Source organism: Homo sapiens, chromosome 8 (genome assembly GCF_000001405.40).
Source record: "Homo sapiens chromosome 8, GRCh38.p14 Primary Assembly".
NCBI lineage: Eukaryota > Metazoa > Chordata > Mammalia > Primates > Hominidae > Homo > Homo sapiens.
In genome coordinates, this window is record NC_000008.11 from 88,870,719 (window position 1) to 88,890,384 (window position 19,666).

The 19,666-nt window shown below is 34.1% G+C and overlaps 1 long non-coding RNA gene across 1 annotated transcript in view; it reads left to right on the forward strand.

Annotated features, from left to right (window-relative positions):
- The window catches only part of LOC105375630 (uncharacterized), a 559,756-nt gene extending 542,875 nt beyond the window's left edge, over window positions 1–16,881 (forward strand). The window contains exons 6-8 of the long non-coding RNA XR_001745653.3: window positions 2,975–3,099; window positions 5,456–5,515; window positions 14,679–16,881. This is a non-coding gene — a long non-coding RNA (uncharacterized LOC105375630). The remainder of the gene's footprint in view (window positions 1–2,974; window positions 3,100–5,455; window positions 5,516–14,678) is intronic.
- The last annotated feature ends 2,785 nt before the right edge of the window (window positions 16,882–19,666 follow it).

Sequence of the window (19,666 nt, forward strand, 5' to 3'; positions counted from 1 at the left end):
TAAATCCAGTTGGTGAGAGTTGAAGTCTCCAACTACAATTGTAGATTTTGTCTAGTTCCTTTTGCTATGTCAGTTTTTCCTTCCTTTATGTCTTCTTGATTTTTTTTCATTTAAAATTGTGTAATTTCCCTATATGTTTTTTGTAACTTTCTTTGCTCTCAATTCTACTTTGACTGACATTTTTATAAACCATCAGATTTTTGGTCTTGTTTGGATTATTGTTGGCATAGTGTGACATTTGTGACACACACACACACACACACACATATATTTCCCTCTATTTTCATTTTAAACTACCAGTATCATTACATTAGAAGTCAGTTTTTTATATATAGAATCTAGTTGGATCATGATTTTTAAAAATTCATTCTGATAATATGTGTGAGTTAATTTGTGTGTCCAGACAATTTACACTTAATATGATTATTGCTATGTTTGATGTAGCTCTACATTTTTTTATTTACCTCTTTTTACTTGTCTTTCACCTTTCTTATTTTCTTTTTGTTGATTTACACATTTTATTTTTTCATTTTAATTTATTATTGGGTGTTTGACCATATCCCTTTGTATAGTTTTGGATTTTTTTGTTTTGTTTTTATTTTGTTTTGCTTTTGTGATTTCTCTAGTTTTTACAGTGTACATATTTAGCTCTTTATGATTCATTTTAAATCAGCATTTTACCACTTCAAGTGGAAGATTGGAAACTTACCATGATATAGGTATTTTACTTGCCTTTTTGTATATTGTAGATATCATATATTACATCTACATACATTGCAAACTCCATTAGTAAATAGGTTTTTCATTCCCACGTGTGTTGAGATTTTCCTGATCTTCCCTATGTCTAAAAATTTTTAATTGTATCCTGCATATTTTGAATGTCATGTTATGAGCCATTTGGTCTTGTTTAAATTATATGTACTTGTTTGTTGTAGTAGGCAATTAACTGATATTGATTTTGGTCACAAGTTCCAACCTGTATGCTGTGGCTCCAATTTCAGTTTACTTTTTCAAGATTTTCTGTGCTATTTAAATCTTTCCTGTATGCGGGTCATCCAGTGGCAAGTCTGGGACATAAGTGATAGTTTATATCTGTGTCCAGTTTTCAAAGTGTGCAGTTTAAGATCAGATCCATGCATACTCAAATCAGGGTTGAACCCACAAGATTAACAAGCAAGTTTATAGATCACTTTCCTAAGCTTTTCTCTTTCTGTAATCTTTTTGGTTCTTTCTGATTTTCTTGGGGCTTGCTTTTATATCCCCCAGTCAGGGAGCTGGACTGTATTTAACCCTATTTGTTAAATTCTTAATTCCATTGCAACCATTGTTGAGGCCAAATGGCAGAAGGACAAAAATAGTAAAAGCAATGAACGTTTACCTCATCTTAATACCACAACTTCTCTGATCTAAGAACTTTCCCCTCCTTAAGAGTTTTAGGTAACTGCAGGCCCATGCTACAGCCATCATTACCATCCAAAGTCCTCTTTCCCACTCCTCAAACTGGAACCAGAAGACATCTCCTGCAGCTCTCTCTTTCTTCATTGGTACTCACTTCCAGGTTTTAAGCAGCTCTGAGATCAGGTTGGCAGATACCACACAGGTAGATATAAATGATAAGTTCACAGTCATTTCAGTGTTACTTTGTATTTTGACTTTCTTTTCTAATCCATCTGCTAATATTTAGGTTTTGGAGTCTTCTAGTACTTGCTCCATGCATCTATCCAGATTTTATAACAGTATTCAGTGAAAGAGTCAGGATAAGGAGTGCTTACTTTATGTTGCCTAAAACTAAAATTTCAATGATTTTATTTTAATTTAAAAACTTTAATTAAATTCTTTGTTTTGTGGAATACCTTCCACATAGTAAGTATTTACTGCATATTAGTTGGAAAGAATTTAGCTGTTTTATAGAAATGAAAACGTCACTACTGAAGTTATTAAATCTATTCAGCAGTGGGCTTCCCGATTTCAATGATGCAACTGTGGCTCCATGGATGCAATAAATTGTCTTTCATCTGATGGACCTCCTTTTAGAACGCTGCAGTCATGTCTCCTAAGGTTTATTTGTAGTGCTCATAGCTGAGTGACATAATGTCATCAAAAGATTAATTAAGCAAGTGAGATGGCAGTCCCAACTTCTGCCACACTGATTTGGATTTCATACCTTGTACATATTACCTTGACTGGAAAGGGAATGAGGAGGTAGAGGAGCTATTTTTTGTTTAATTTTTCAATGCAGAGTTGCTCTTTCATTTTTCCTCCATTTCTCCAAGATTTTCCACTTTTCGGAGATTGTTGAGGACTGACAAACTCAGTGTTACAATGTGCATTTCCCATGTCAGCCAGAGGCTACTGCCTGAAGGTCTCTGACAGAAATCAGTGTGCTCAGAATGCTGCCAGGCCCCAGGCAGGAAAGGTACATACCTCTGTGTACCCTGTGGAGCACCCAGAGCTGCCAGGAACAAACGAGTATGAGAGAAAAATGCTAGTCACAGAGGTATTTAGCTTCTATTTAAAGGGTCCATATAAGCAAGACATATTAAAAGGTCATAAAATATATACAAAGTTTTCAGGGTCCTAGTTTTTGAAATATTCTATTTTTTGTGGTTTTTGACAAAGTCTAATATTATTCTGTAAGATAGTTTGATGTTTCAAGAAACGTTATAACAGCGTATTATTCTTTAAAATGACAATCATTTTGAAGAGGGCAAATAGCTGGCTATGTGAAATTCCAAAGAAACAACCACACATCTGTCCACATGAAAAACAAGTTGCTGGAATGTATAAGTATTTTGATGGATTTTAGATTTATCTCCTCATATGCTATCAATTTTGAGATTTTAACGCCAAACTAGCATTTCTCTTTATTGACAACAATTGTTATAATAATCAGTTGCATGTATGTGTGAGAAAGAGACACAATAAGTAAAATAATTGTATGACTTTATACCTTGTCATTCTTTTTGAATTTTAGACATGGTTTCCCTTTATCGCTGAAGCTGGAATACAGGGATTATAGCTCACTGCAGCCTTCGGCTCCTGGGCTCAAGTGATAATCTTGCCTCGGTATCCCAAGTTGCTGAGTACCTGAGACTAAAGGTGAGCACCACCATGCCTGGCTAACTTTTAATATATGTAATATTTAAATACTAAATATATAATATATATAAATATTATAAATAGCACCACCATGCCTGGCTAACTTTTAACATATGTAATATATATATTTGTAGAGATGGTTTCTTACTATCTTGTCCAGGCTGGTCTTGAGCTCCTGGCCTCAAGTGATCCTCCTGCCTTGGCCTCCCAAAATGCTGAACAGGCATGAACCACCACACCTGGCTTCATCATTCTTTTTTGACAACAATATCTGCATAATTATTTGGGAAACATATGTACATTCCTTTAAAAAATTCTTAGCTTTGCACAATTCAAACCTTCTGGATGACACCATTTTAATTCTCTCTCTCTCTCTCTGAATGTGTGTGTATTATTTTTTGTAGAGATATATATATATCAATTTGTGACACACACATACATACACATACAGTCAAAATTGGGCATATCCTTTATAAGTGTTTTCCTAAATACATACTTGATTGTATAGTAGTTTTAGTCAAGTCTGCCCAAATAATTTTAATTTGGGAGCTAGTTTTCAATGAGTTTAAACTCTAAGTAAAATAATCTTCTCAATATAACATGAGCCAATATTAATTTGCATTTGTTGGTAAATACAAACATGAATATCAGAAAAAGAAGCAGCCTCAGTGTTACTCTTAAATATATGTACATACTCTTATAAGCAGTAGGAGTAGATAGCCATGTATCCATAAATATTTGCAAGAAATAGAGAGGGACTCTGTTTTCAAAAATGCTCCCCAAGTGTTCAGATGCATTTTATGAAGTAGCATCTTCAATAATTTATCGCTTGAATTTGAGACATTTATTCCAGGAGCTTCCTATTAACATGAAATCACCATTGGAAGGCTAATGTCTGAAGCTATTTATCATCTTAGCCTTCTTTGACCTGTCAAAATGCTGTTCTGTACAAAGCAAAGAACAGGGTTAGGAGAGAATGGAAACATGTGTTCAGGTAAGGCTTGCTGGGAAGAAGAGAGCCATAGCTGAGGTGCTATCAATCAGGAACTTTATAATTTGCCAAAGCACTGTTTTGTTTCTGGATTCAATGGAAGAGGAGATGCCAGTAACAAATACCAGTTAATTTGAAGATTTGCTTTGGATTAGCCCCACCATGAGAGAACTGAAATGCTTACTAAGTAAAGATAAGATGGTACTTGTAAGACATGTACAAAACAACATTAAGATATGTATAAAATTTATTAACATACACAAGGTATTTGACAGTGAAATGTTTTCCTTTTCTCCCAAATAGTTTCAGTGTGATTGGCTCCAAGCCCTAAAACCGACCTCAGGAAAAATCAGTCATTAAGCTGATGAATAGATCTTGGAAACACACACATAAGAAAAGGTATAAGTCTATATTATAGGCTATTTTGCACAGTCAGCAAAGTATTACAAGTTTATAGCCAGCCTAAAAAGGATTAAAGCCATCCATTACTCTGTTACAGAAGAACTTTAATAACCTCAGAAGCTCTATATTGGCTGTATACATTTGAAGCCTGTCACTAAATAGCACTATCTTGGCAGCATCCTGACAAAGGATGCACTTATCAAATAGGTATTAGGAAGGTGCCAATGAATCCACCATATCTTTCATCAAATCTTAGAAAGGTGTGTATTTGAAGCATCAAGATTGTGGTTATATTTTGATGAAAAATTGTGCCACATTATCATTTTCAAATGTGTAACACTAGGATCACCTAAAATATATTTAAAGAACATTCAAAATATCTGACCCCAATACGTAGACAAAATAATTAAGAAATCACGAGATATTACCATTTTATTGAGGGTCAACCACCACTACATTTTTCTCAAAAAGATCTGTCTGCATAGCCAGTTCTGCTACACTGCCAACTTAATTTGGGCATCTCTTAGTGTGGTTGAGCCTAATGTGCACTTTATGTTTCCCTTGTATAGATCTCTTTGGAGACCTTCATAACTGGATTAACTGGCAACCCACTCTTTACAGACTGAAAGGTTGATAGAGTGAATCACTAAAAGACTAGTCACTCTTTCAGAGTCATATAATGAAGTCAAGTTTCTCCAAAGTCAAGTTTTCCTTTGCAACCTCAAACACATGCCTCCATCAGGAACACCACCTTTGTAGCAACTCTGAATTCCTGAACTATTCCACCTACAATAAAATCAAATGCTGCATTCTCTAACCATTACCTAAGGGATTTATGGGTCACTCAATAGGACATGTAAGATTCATTCAAGCTTTTCAAGCACGTTTTCAAGAAATACTCTGAGGAATCAAGGTCTTGTGAGATGTTATTAAAGCAAGTGACATAGTCTGGCATCTTTCTAGGTTTATACTCACCTGTCCATCATGTGGAAGCTGGAGAGTCACTTCTTTTGATAATTCAAGGTGAGACCTAAGTATTTCTTTAAATTATAGCAATGCTATCCATCCTAATTGTCAGCTTAGAAGCACTGGAGTTTTTCAGATTCCATTCACCATCATCTGTTCAGACTCTCACATGGAGGCTTTAGTGATGCAGAGAATTCAGCATGCATACAGTGCCTCTTTCTCATTCATATGACGATACCTATCGTGCTGTAGTGGCACTTTGTGCTGGTGCTATACAAATAACAAGATTCCTTGACATCAAGGACCTTGTATTATAAATAAGTAAGTGGTGATGATTAATAGCAAATCCTTATCAAATTCAAATGCCTGTAAACATGAAAGTAGTTTATGGGGCACAAATTACTTGCCAGTTTTAAGTTATAATTCTGATCCTATTGTGTCATCACCTGGTTCTTCTCAGGGATCCATTGACACATGTTTATCTCAAAACCTCACAGATGGAATTCATGTTTTATCCAGGATACAGGTTACCTGCAAAACCACTGCATGAAACAATAAATGAAAGTACAAGAAAAGAGTGTACAAGCATGAATTCTAGTGAGAAGCTAAATTGAATTTGGTACTGATATGTGTTTATGCACATAGAGAATATGGTTATTTTTTAAATCAATGAACAAGACATTTCTGTTTGTTAACACTATTTGTATTAGTACCATATTGCTTCTAGCAAGTGCGTTTTGTGATAACAGCATGAAATGCATTTCATTAAGTTAAAGTGTGCTGGCATTAAGGTAGTGGCTGATGACATTTCTAATTTGAAATGCCTGCAGAGTTAGTTTTATGGGGGCATTTTCCTTAGCAACCAAACCGGGCTATAGAATGTCTGTGGGACATTGCCTCTCCTTAGGCAAGAATTCATCCCTTTGGCCTAGTAGATTTTTATAGGCTGTAACAGTATTAAACAAAACATAGTACCCTTGCCACTTCTTCCCAGGAAGCAATACTATATTGTCTTTAGTTGTGCAAAAGTATCTTCCATTATTTTCATTCTGACTAGGTTAATAGTGGAAAAGAGGATGTGTCTTGGTATTTACCAAGTTTTTATATATAATAAAAAGTTGGATGTCTTATAATGTAAAAGAAAGAAAATATTTTTTTGCACTTCTGCCTCGAGCTTATTAAAGGGACATACTCTTCTAGCACTTGTACTAATAAGATTTGTAAGATGTTACAAATTATCAGAATCAATATTCTTTGGTGAATACTAGTTTCAAAGTTGTCCCAACTCTAGCTGTGCTGGGATTGGATATGTGCAGTTGTCTGTAACATAATGTAATACAGCATCATATACAATTAGGTGCTCAGGAAAAGTTTGAAAATGATGTGAAACAGTCCAAAGCAGCAATATATTTCTGTGATGTGCCTAATATGCTTACTTGAGAACTTTCTAAAGAATATTTTTACTTGGCATAAAAATGCTTAGTACTAGCTCACATTTATAATCAGTTTTATTAAACACTGAGTTCCACAGCTATTTCAGCTGTTTTGTTCTTTGCTTCAAAATAAAAAAAAGAAAGGACAAAATATATACATCTGAATAGACACTTTTTATTTTTAATAAAAATATGAAAAAGCTGTATTATTGAGTCTTTAAAAAGTATCTTGAGTGACAACAATTTAAGAGCACTTATTTTCTGGAAATCCAGGCAAAGTTTGATGAGAGGCACAGGTCTATGAGAAGTATTCTCCCTGCTTTCCAAGAACCCATGAATAATTTTTTTTAAAGCAGTATATGATAAATAAATATAAGTAGTGTATGTAATTATGGAAGATCAGATGAGGAGATGACTCGAGCTGGCTCTGTGTGTTCAGGAAAGTTTAATTATATAAAAGCTGGAGACCATTTGGTATTTTGTATTTTCTTAATGGATGCCAAATACTATAATAGAGTAAGATAAAGAAAACAAATCCTGATGAGTGCCCTCACATATCAGAATACAGAGGTGGGAAGGCATTATAACATTTTTATAGGGATTTTAATACTCAAAGTATGTTTGTATTTATTGACACATTTGGCTCTCACCTGTGAGAGCCTATTCATACATATAGTTATTATATACTGTACTAATATACTATGTTACTACTATGAAATTTATATTCTGAAGGTGGAATGTTGTACTTTAATTGGAGTTCCAATGTTTACTGCTTTTCTTTTAGTGGGTACCTCACTTCTTATCCCTTAGACTCAGTTTTATCCTTTATAAAATGTGAATAGGGATGACTAAATAAATTCATAAAGTTGTGGAAGGATCAAGGGAAACACAAAGGTAAGCAAACAAAATGCCAGTAGAAAAGCAGGCACCAAGAAAACATTTGGGTTCTTCATGATCTTTGCCATTGATGGGTTTATAAATCAATCCATTCATTCAATTAATCATGTGGTCATTCACCCTGAAACATGTGCCATACATTGTTCTGAGAACTGAAAATGCAAAGCTGAAACAGACAAGTTTTTTTCCCTCAAGAAACTCTCATTCTGAAAAGAACATACTCCTTGGGACACACTTTTATATTTGAGCTTGGGACCCTAGTTTTTCCTAACATCTGAGGTATGTAGACTCAGCCTCAGATTTGGTCCATTAGCCAAATGAATCCACCCACAACACCCTGAGACAAATCAGACAGGGATAATATCTGTTTGCTATGAGGAGACATGATTATTTCATTGGGACACAAAATTTTGCAGGCCTTAAATCTCATGAGATCACGCCTTCATGTCCAGAGATCAGAGTAGTCTCCTAAACTAATAATAATAAAAAAAACTTCTGTGCCCAACAGCGGTAAAAAGCCAATATCAATATATACCTTGGGTGACTTAAAATAAATTTTTTAAACTTAAACATAGTTTATTAAAGCTACTTAACTTAAAAGGGAAAATAGTTACTTTGAGAGAAACAAAAATCAAGAGCTTCTGACTTCTCAGAAACAATAAAATTTAAGTAACTTGAATTGGGAAGCATAGCCAAAAATGGTCACAACCAGCCACAGGTTAATAGAGATTAAGACAGTAATGTGAGGTCTTTGCTAGCTGTTCACTACATAGAAAATATATAGTCCTGGACTAATGGGATTTTAGTCCTAGAAGATCACATGACTTATTTGCATTAATACTCATAAATAATTAAGAAAAGTAAAGCTAATCAAATATCCAAACTACCCTCTAATACTTTAGGCAATTCTGTTCCTAATCCATATAATTCTAGCCTGTGTTTTTCCCTCTTGGTTTCTTTCCACTTTACCAAAATCAGATATGAACTAGCTGACACCACATTGTACACATTAAAATAATTTCCTTTCCTTGACATGTATCAGATGTAGCTTACAAAAGTAATAAATTAAATTACCACATATATTGCTCATTTTCTATCTTTAATTTGTACATTTGTCAAGGCCAACTTCCACAAATGCATTACTCAGAAATTGAATTTTTCTGTTAGAAATAAAATAAGCCACATAGTAATCTATCATTTAGTTTTCTGTACTTTTATGGGAATCTGATACAGAGTAGTAGCCAGGATGTTTAGATATGATAACAAAATACATCATTCAGACTCCTAATTTTTAATAAAGTCATGTCTGCAAGCTGATGAACCCTGATAACCTGAAGTTGAGTGTGGCATTTTCCATCAAATTATGTTTGGGTTTTCAAACAGTGGCTTAAAGCAGGTAATTCATTTCCTCCTATGTACTTTACTGGTCAACAGATGGATAGAAGCTATTTTATTAGGGCTTCATGGTCCAGCTATTCAAGTTTCCTGAAGATTTGGTTTCCAGGGAGGGGATGGGAGAGAGAGAAATAGAGGAGAAAATTTTCATATTCAAAACAATTACTAATTAGAAATATTTTATTTGATTGCTTGGGGAACTTACCAAAGTGATTCTCCCTGATATGTTTTATGCTTAAAAAAGGCATTGCAAGTTCAATTTCAGGTCATGTTGTCATACAATATATCTCTACACACAACAGCAACTGCTTCTAACAGAAGTGCTTTTTACTTTTCAAAACATTACTCAGAAATTTGAAAATCCATGTTGGCATTCTTTACCATTTTCTAATTAGTTCTGCTGGTTTAGTTAGAATGTAGAAACAGAAGGCTAGCAGAACTGTTTAGAAAACGGAAATTTTCACTCAAGGAAATAGATGCGTGAACATGTGTATATGTGTGTGTGTGTAAGTCCTCTAGTATAACACATAAAACTCTATAATTTAGCTATTGAGTATTTAGCCACTTCCTTGCACCATGCCTTATGGAATTCTTTGGTCTGACTTAAATAAAGACAGGAGTCAAACCATCTTTTTACTTTTATCTTACTTACCTACTTTTGCCACAAAACATGTTTGTTTGAGGATAAAATTATAAATTAAACTCTAACAACATACTAAAACATAATAGTGTCTAATTCATTCAACATTTAAAGAAAAGCCAGTGTAAAATGATTATTTAAAGCATGAATGGATTAACTAAAATAATTTCTACTGTAAGGAATGAACTAGTATTTGAATAATCTATTTATTCAGTGTTGCAAACCCAAATCCATAGTGTTTCACAGTGATTTACCATATTAAAGTTTTCCTATGCCACTTCTCTGTATGTACTCATATCAGGTCAGCATTTTAAGATTACATCAAATTATGATTGAAGATTTAGGAATAGACACAAAGGATAAGATAAAAACACACAGCTAGGCTAATTTAAAAAAAGAATTCTTCTTGTAATTTTATAGAAGTTGAAATGACAGATCTCAACTTGCAGAAATAAAGAAAATTTCAAAGCGGAGTAACTATTTTCCATAGAAAATGTACTATCAGTTATGAAAAATAAAGTTCCGGCCGGGCGCGGTGGCTCACGCCTGTAATCCCAGCACTTTGGGAGGCCGAGGTGGGCGGATCACCTGAGGTCAGGAGTTCGAGACCAGCCAGACCAACATGGAGAAATCCCGTCTCTACTGAAAATACAAAATTAGCCAGGCGTGGTGACACATGTCTGTAATTCCAGCTGCTCGGGAGGCTGAGGCAGGAGAATCGCTTGAACCTGGGAGGCAGAGGTTGCAGTGAGCCGAGATTGTGCTATTGCACTCCAGCCTGGGTAACAAGAGTGAAACTCCGTCTCAAAAAAAAAAAAAAGAAAAAAAAAGAAAAAGAAAGTTCCTCACTCTTGGTACTATGCTATAGAGAGAGAGAGAGAGAGAGAGAGAGAGAGAGAGAGAGAGAGAGAGAGAGAGAGAGAGAACGTCCATGGACGCGATTTGGGGTCCCTATAGAAAGGAAACAAAGTCATTTAATGTTACAGCACATTTGCAGTTAATGTCAGTGGACTGGGAAGTCAGACAATCCATATTCATAAATTTAGTTAATGAAAATAGACTGGCTCCCCGATCCTAGATCCTATAAAAAGTCCCATGTGAAGTGATTGTTGAACCCATTCTTCTACTAATAGAATTCACTAACACCTGAATATGCAAAGACGTTTGAAGACCTAATGTTAGCGAATGAAATTCTAACCTTGTTGATAAATAAATTATTTTCATTGAAGAGGAATGAAATTTGGCTTATCTTACCCAGTCCCTGGTGTACTAGACAGAAGTGTATATAAACCTACTTCATTGATGAAAATGTTATCACCTTTCAATGAAAAGTAAGATCATTAGAGACCCTAAATTATTATAGTAAGGAATTATTCATTTTTCTAGCAATTGAAAGAGATTTATAGATTATTATAAAGATTTTTGCAGTCACAGCAATGGTTTATTGGGTAAGAGTTATCAGGTATGCTCACCTAGCCCCAGGCTTTGTTTTCCTTGAATTCAGTTACAGGCATGTGAATCTGGAAGACAAGCAGGGCAAACTGTTAACAGAAATACCTACAGGAGGGCCCAAGCAAGCTTCCATAAGCAACCTCTCCTAAGGGAAGAGGAATTTGGCACAAGGTATATTTACAAACAGTTGATGATAGACTAAAGCCAACATGGATACCAGCATCATGTTGAATTAATGAATGTTAAAAACACAGATGACTGAAAGAAATATTGACTGCATGGATGCATCATTTACAGAATCCACAATCTCTAAATCAAGCAAGTTTTAGAAAAGGCACTGGACCTCCTCTAAAGGTGTAGTGAATGATCTGAGGATGCAGTTTTCATCTAACCATGGGATGATTTTATCACTGCTATAAAATAGCTGGTTATTATTTTAAGTATTTAAGCAGGAAGCTGTAAGAATCTATCTGAAGGTCTCAAACTCAACATAAACAAAACATCTTGCTCCTTGCTACTCTGAATTGTTGATACCCCAATACAACACAATTCATTAAAGGCACCATCAATGTAACTGCTCAAATTAACTATTGTGAGAAATTCTTAAATTGTCTTTATCTTATTCAAGCAGTCAACTATGTAAGCAGATATTAGCATTTTTACCTCTAATATATATCCAGATTCTATTCACTTTTATTCATTTCAATTGCTAAAACCCATTTTCAAGTCATAATCATCTTTTTTCACAGAGACTAATATAATAGTTTTCTAAATAATCTCCATCTTTTATCCTCTCATGTGTTCTCTTCTGAACACTCAAGGTGATCTTTTAAAAAAGTGAATCAGTTATATTACTACCTTGTGTTAAACCCTCATGATAAATACAATTTAAACTCCATAACAAAACAAAAAAGACAAAGGTCTTTTACAATCTGATCTCTCTCTGAGCACTCTCATTCTGTCATCTAAAGCTAACCTCTTTTTGTTCCTCAAAACGTGCTAGTCATAATTCTACCATAGCACCTTCATATTTGACATTTCTGAACGGAAAGCTCTTGAAACTGACTCTTTTTTGTCTTTCAGATCTTTACTCAAATAAGCATTCAGCCTTCTTGTCAATAAGTTGGATTTTTTTTTTTTGAGGATGCATACATATCTTTAGTTCTAGGAAATATTCTTTTTTATTAATTATGTTTAACTCTATCTTGAAAATTAACAGATACAAAAGCATGTTATCATAATTTTATGGATTTTCACAAACCTGGCACACACACTCACATAATCAGTATCCAAATTGAAGAAACTGAACACTACTGGCACCCTTATTAACCTTACCCAGATCTCCAATTCTGTCACAGTCCACTAAATAGAAACCAAACACTATTCGGAATGATGACACCATATATCAGTTGTGTTGGGTTTTGTTTTAAGTTTATATAAATGGAATCTTATAGTGTGCATTTTCTACGATTGTCTTGTTCCCCTCAACATTCTTTGTGAGATCTAACCATTTTATTATTTCATGTAATTTTAGCTCTTTCATTCTCATTATTGCATAGCATTTAACTGTATGAATATATCAACATGCATTTTCCATTCTACTTTTAATTTGCATTCATATAGTTTAAAATTGTAGGTAATTGTTAATAGTGTTGCCATGAAGATTCCAGAGTATGTCTTTTTATGGGCATATGAATATAAATGAGCTTTACTTTTCCTGGGAATTACATAAGAAAGGAATTACTAGGTCTTAAGTTATGCAAATGTTCAGATTCTCAGCTTCGGGAGACACTGCCAATAGCTTTTTAAAGCGGTGGTACCAATTTGCATTCTTCATGACTGTGTATGAAAATTCAGTTTGTTCAACATTTTTACCAATAGTTGGCTCTGTCTTGTCATTGTTACTGTTGTTATTCCTACTGAGGGTGTCATAGTAATGTATTATTAATTGAAATGACATTTTCTTGATGATTAATGGTTTTGAGCTCCTATCCATATATTCATTAGTCATTCAGGTATCTTCTATTCTCAATTGCCTAATTCAGGTCTTTTGCCCATTTGCAGGGGGAGTGGCTTAGTTAGAAGTTTTTTTTAAAAAAATAATATTTTAATATTTTATGTTTATTGAACATATAGTCACACAATTAAAAACTAAATAATTTTGTTAAAACAAAAGACATATTACAAGGGAAAAAATGGCAGAAATCTTCTCAATTTTATCTTTTTTTTCTCCCAGAGGTAACCAATTTCAACTCTTTTGGTAGTTGTCATTGGCCTTAGAGTTCACATTTCTAAAAAGCACGCTGGTACACTAATGAGTTTTTTTTTTTTTCTGTCTCTATGGCTGCATAGTGTTATTCAGTTAACAAATAATTATTTTCTGAAGTGTCAAGATAAATTTGAAGGAGAAGAATTAGAAGTATGTGTTCAACCCACCATCTTGGCTGGAACTCTCAGTGTGATATTTCTGAGTATACTTTCATTGTATAAATGTATGTTTCTATTCAGATGCAGTATAGCTATAACCTCCATTTTCTCTATCACTGGAACTCAGGCCTAGGTATGTCTAGTAGGTATGGACCAGTTATTTCATAGTAATTTATCTTCATTCAAAATTACTTATTGGTGCAAGATTTGAGGCAAATTATGCCAATTATACTTAAACATAATAGTGCTTATGTTAATATAAAGTTGTGTTTATTTGCATAGATATAGACTGGCCCCATGTTTACCAAATATTTCCTTATTACAACATGCTATATGAGTCAACCTTATTATACTTAATTATTATGCCATGTTTTATTTATGTTGTCCTATTCTATAATTAAATAAATACGTAATGCTTATTATTTAAAATACTGCCATGTTTACTTACCTCAACATCAATTATTTTAAACTGCCTGAACAGTTTTTGGGTAGTACAAACTATTTTATTATGTTTTTAGAAACTCATGTCTATCAGCCAGAGTAGAAAGTACATAATAAATTATTTAAAAATATTAATTAAATATGTTATATAACTAAAAAGTCTTTTTTAATGATCATAAAAATATTGATGTCATAAAAACACAACTCAATGTGAATCAAATATAAAACTAATGCTTGGAAGTGTAAGAGTCTATTCTTAATTTGTGTAACATTTAAGGTTTTACCTAACCAATGTGCATTTTTAGAAATTTAACCTACTTGCATTTTATTCTAGCTTTTTGCCTCCTCTCTAACAAAATATTTAGGATCCTATGTTCTTTTTCTTTAATAATATTTTAGATCAGACACACAACTAAGAAAACATCAAGAAAGATAAAAATATAGTATTTTTCAGTTTGGATTTTCATATCTTATGTCCTTCAGTTAGTCCAGTTTTCTTATCCATATGGATAAAAGCTGCTATTTTTATCTTCAGAATCTTGGGATACTTCAGAGAACAATTCTCAAACAACAACTTCAAACTGACAGACAGACTTCAAGGAACTATGCAGGATAGATGGGTGGCCAAATGACAAGCTTGGAAAGCTACAAGGGAGTGCTACCTGCTCCTCTCCGTCCATTCTTTGCTCTCTACTCTGAACTCCATGTCTTCCACCAAGGTTCACTTCACCACTGTGTCATTAAAATGTTCAGTACCAATATGCAGACTGTCCGCAATGATAGGTATAAACTGTTCAAGAAGACACCCATTTCTAGCAAAATTTCTGACTCCTTTCAAAATAAAAATTGGCCCTCTTACAGTAATTTCACACTGATATATGGCAGGGATTAATCCAAAATGCCTGCATATATTCAGGATAGCTTTCCTGAGTTGATTGGCCTTTGACTGTGAAATTTTAACTACAAAAATCAAGTTTATGAATCATATTTGTATGTACAAAGACATTCACTGTCAACTGACCTGTGAAAACATAAATCATATTACCAGTATGGGGATTATTATTATAAAAGAAATCTTTATGTAGAGAAGAATTACTAATGAGTCAAAGCAAACTCTCCCTTTTAATGAACAATTCCTGAAATGTTTCATAATGCAGGAAAAATTCCAGTCTGTCTACAACCCTTTCCCTATAGCTCTGTGGTTCTGTATGATAATGAGGGAAATTTATTATTGCTATTTCTGAAAATCCTAACTGCAATAAAATATAAAAAATATTTAAAAATCAGTGTGAATATTCACATTTTGTATGGTTCCTAAATATTTAATTATTTAATATCTTCAAATAATCAGCACCTTTTCTTTATTTTTTGATGTTGCCTTATTTATGATTTTTGCTTGAAGCTAGGAGAGCTCTAAGTGGAAAGATATATTATTGTATTGCGGAGTCCCAAACCCCCAGGACGGGGACTGGTACCAGTCCATGGTCTGTTAGGAACAGAGCCACACAGCAGGAGGTCAGGGGCCTGCCAGCGAGCATTACATTATTGCCTGAGCTCCATCTGCTGTCAGATGAGTGATGGCATTAGATCTTGTAGGAACAGGAACCCTATTGTGAATTGTGCATGTAAGGAATCTAGGTGGTGTGGTCCTTATGAGAATCTAATGCCTGATGATCTGAGATGGAACAGTTTCATCCCGAAATGTTACCCCCGCTGCCGCCCATCCTGAAAAAATTGCCTCCACAAAACTGGCCCGTGGTGCCAAAAAGGCTGGGGACTGCTGCTATATTGTGTATTAAATCCTGATATTTTTATTTGATTCATTTCACTTTAAAGAGTCAAAAAAGAATAGACTTCTTTTATATTTTCAGAATTTCAAATACAAATTATAAATTAAATTATGAAAATAATAAATATTACTCCTAATATTTTTAATGTTATCAATTTTCAAAAAGCTTTAATTGAGAACCTGGGAAACGTTATATTTCATTTTGCTCTTGAACAGCTAATAATGTATAACAGGCTATTAATTTTTTTTTCTATTTTATCTTCCAGTATAAATTTCCTTTTTGTGAATTGAGTGAGTCAATTGAGGAAATAAATTATTTGACCTGGGTTATCTACACTTTGCCTCCAAAGCAGAAACTGTTGTTCCGTATCTTCAGGCTGCTCTTTTCTTTTTGTATTTATGCCAGTTAAAGTAGAGAAAGAAAAATGAAAACAAGAAAAATAAAATAAAGTTCACATGGGTAGATGTCTATGGAAAATTAAATATCTAAGGATGCAAATTTATTTTTTTGCATGCATGTACATGTGAATGAATATAAACACAGTATATTGCATTTATATTCTATTCTGTTTCTTTAGGATTTAAAATTTACTATGTTGTACTATTCTTAAATTAAGATTTATTTAATGATGTTGTTGGATTTTGGAGGGGTTCTCCATAGAATAACAGGCTCTCTTTCAGATTTTCTAAATTCTTTCCCCAACCACAACTCATCACAATTTTTGCAAAGGATTGAATGGAACATTAGAGACCTTCCAGAATATTTGTACTGATTAATTTTAAAGGTATAAGATGCTAGGAGAAAGATTATTTGACATGATTTCCTACTGAAATCTCTGTATTTGTGGATGCATAATCGAAAACTCTTTCTTTAACATGACACAGTAGCATTGCTGTTTGATTTGTCTTTAAATTCCTATATTTAAATAAACTGTGGCAGAAAAAGGAACTTCTGGTAGAGAAATCTGTTTACCTCCACATCCTCTGGATGCAATAGCAGGGCAGATAGCTTTTCTGTCTAGACTAAGATAAGTGATTTCTATCTGCCAAGTGAGTAGCAGCAGGAGGCTGAACATCATTATTTGATTTCCCAGATTGTCCCAAAGCTGCTGTGTTAAATGTCCAATCGAAACAGCTAACGTTTACAAGTGGTGAAGTTAATTTACTACAAATGGCGGTGATATAGTTTATAATATCTTTTTTTTTTTGAGGCAGAGTCTCACTCCATTGCCCAGGCTGGAGTACAGTGGGGCAGTCTCGGCTCACTGCAACCTCCACCTCCCAGGCTCAAGTGATTCTCCTGCCTCAGGCTCCCAAGTAGCTGAGACTACAGGCCCATGCCACCACACCCGGCTAATTTTTGTATTTTTAGTAGAGACGGGGTTTCACCATATTGGCCAGGCTGGTCTCGATCTCCTGACCTCGTGATCTGCCCACCTCGGCCTCCCAAAGTGCTGGGATTACAGGCGTGAGCCACCACACCCCGCCTAGTTTATAATATCTTATAGGATGTTCACATTACAAAGAAATTTCAAGGTGATACATGATGACAGGCGTTTACCGTTTGTGAGAGAAGAAAGTCTTTCTCTAATAACAACGTTCCTAAATTTTTTTAAAAAAATCAATTTTTGGATTGTAGTATAGATTGGCACTCCAAAGTCCTTTTCGTTCAGAATCCATTCTCCCTATCCCCCACCCCCGGCCTGCCCTGTCCCCCTCGCAATCCCGCTGTCCCACTGCTGCCCCCGTCGTACTTCCACCCCATGTAATTATATTCCTTGCTAGGTGGTGACCATTGAAGTCTCTTCTAGAAAACAACAAGGCCATGACCCTCCAAAATATACTTTGAAAACTTCAATATCCCAGACATATTAAATAAAGATAGATGAATTTGCAACCCTAAAATCTGTTTTATTGACAAGCTATTATATTGACTTCCACACCTTGCTGAGTTAGAGAAGCACACTGTAGTTCACTCTCTTTCCCAAAATACAAACTCCTCCTATGGTATCCTTAACAGAAGTTTGCCTTTCCTGTGTTTGAAATTGCAATAGATAATTTTCCAAGGGAGACTACTTCCTTATTAGACACGAGAACTATTTGGAGGTTCATTCTTCTCATAGACACTGTGCTTACTTCACTAATAAGTTTCAGCAATTGTTCTTACTTTTGTCCTCCATAGAAGCTTAGCCAGGTTTCTTTCTTTTTTTTTTTTTACTTGAATGACAAGATAAAAGTGACTAAAACAATAACATTTTTAAGACGTATGATAATACAAAATGCCCTTTCAGTGCATGAAATTGGTCAGCATAACTAGAAAACTATCTCTCTTCCAAATGTATTTGTGTTCCAAACCATCAAAAGAACAGAAAGTGTGAGATATAGAGATATTGGATGACATATAATTCACCAGTCATTTGTATTTAAATGAAACTTCTGTTTCTTCCAAGTTTCTTAGACTAGATTTTAAAAAGTGCCATAGCATGAGAATATTTTGAAGGAAGTCTCAAAACGATGGTTTCAGATACAATTCTACATTATATATGGCTAAGTAGTTAATTTATTAAATATAAATGTGTTAATTTGGAAGACAGGTTATGGTTAGTAGGTCCTTTAATGCCATTTAAACTACTATTAATGTTATTTTTATTTGGCAGAAATCAAATTATTTTGGTTAAAGGTATGGCAAAAATAAAATAAATAATACATATTTTATGAGATTCGTTTGATGAATTCTAACTATTGGAGGCTTGCTTTCTTCTGGGATTTATAGACATCGAAGGAAGGAAATGATAAATAAAAGATTTATCTTAAACTGTAGGTAGTACCAGGGCAGGGGTTTAGGTCTACTTTGTTCATTGATATACCTCAACCAAATAGAATAATTCCTGGAAAATAGCAGATTCTCACAAATATTTTTGTTTGAAACCAAATTCAATAGTTATAACCTTACTCTACCTTCAAACTAGTATAGCAGTTCAGCATGAAACTCATATAATTCATAGAAATATGAATTGCAGACGAAGGAAATCTCCCTATCACATGTCCACAAGGATGCCTCTAGAATTAGAATATTGCTCACATAACTACGTTGAATGTTTACTTAATAGATATTTAACAAAAAATTACTATGTGGCACAACTGCTCTGATGTTGGGTTAAAATGGAGAATGTGCTACATCTAGATGCTTCTCTTAAGAAATTATGGTTTGGTTTAGGTAGATAGATAGGCAAAGAGAAAATCACAATAAATGCTAGTAAGTACTATTTAAAAAGATTTATGTGAGACAGTGGTGGTTCCCTGTTCTCACTCATGATTTATCCTACATCTTGATAGAATGTTGCTACTGCTTAGCACTAGAGAATTTATTTTATTTTCTAAATATTAAATTATTATTTATTTTTCCAAAAACACATGAGGTCTTCTTAGCCCAATTCCAGGCTTAAATTTCTTAATGATTTCTTCATATTAGCATGCCATATAAAGCTCTCTTTGTAGTGTCTTTGAAAATAATCTAGGCCCTGTTTTATTTAGTTAACAAGATATATATGCATCATTATTGGAGCATCTACCATGCCACATCTTGAACAGCAGATGAATTTACATTCAGAGACACATGGATCATTAAAAGATTCTTTAACAATACTCCAACCTAAAGAACTCAACTCTTTTACTTAATTAGTTTTTTGTTTGTTTGTTTGTTTTGCCCACTGGCAACTCTATCTGCCCTCACA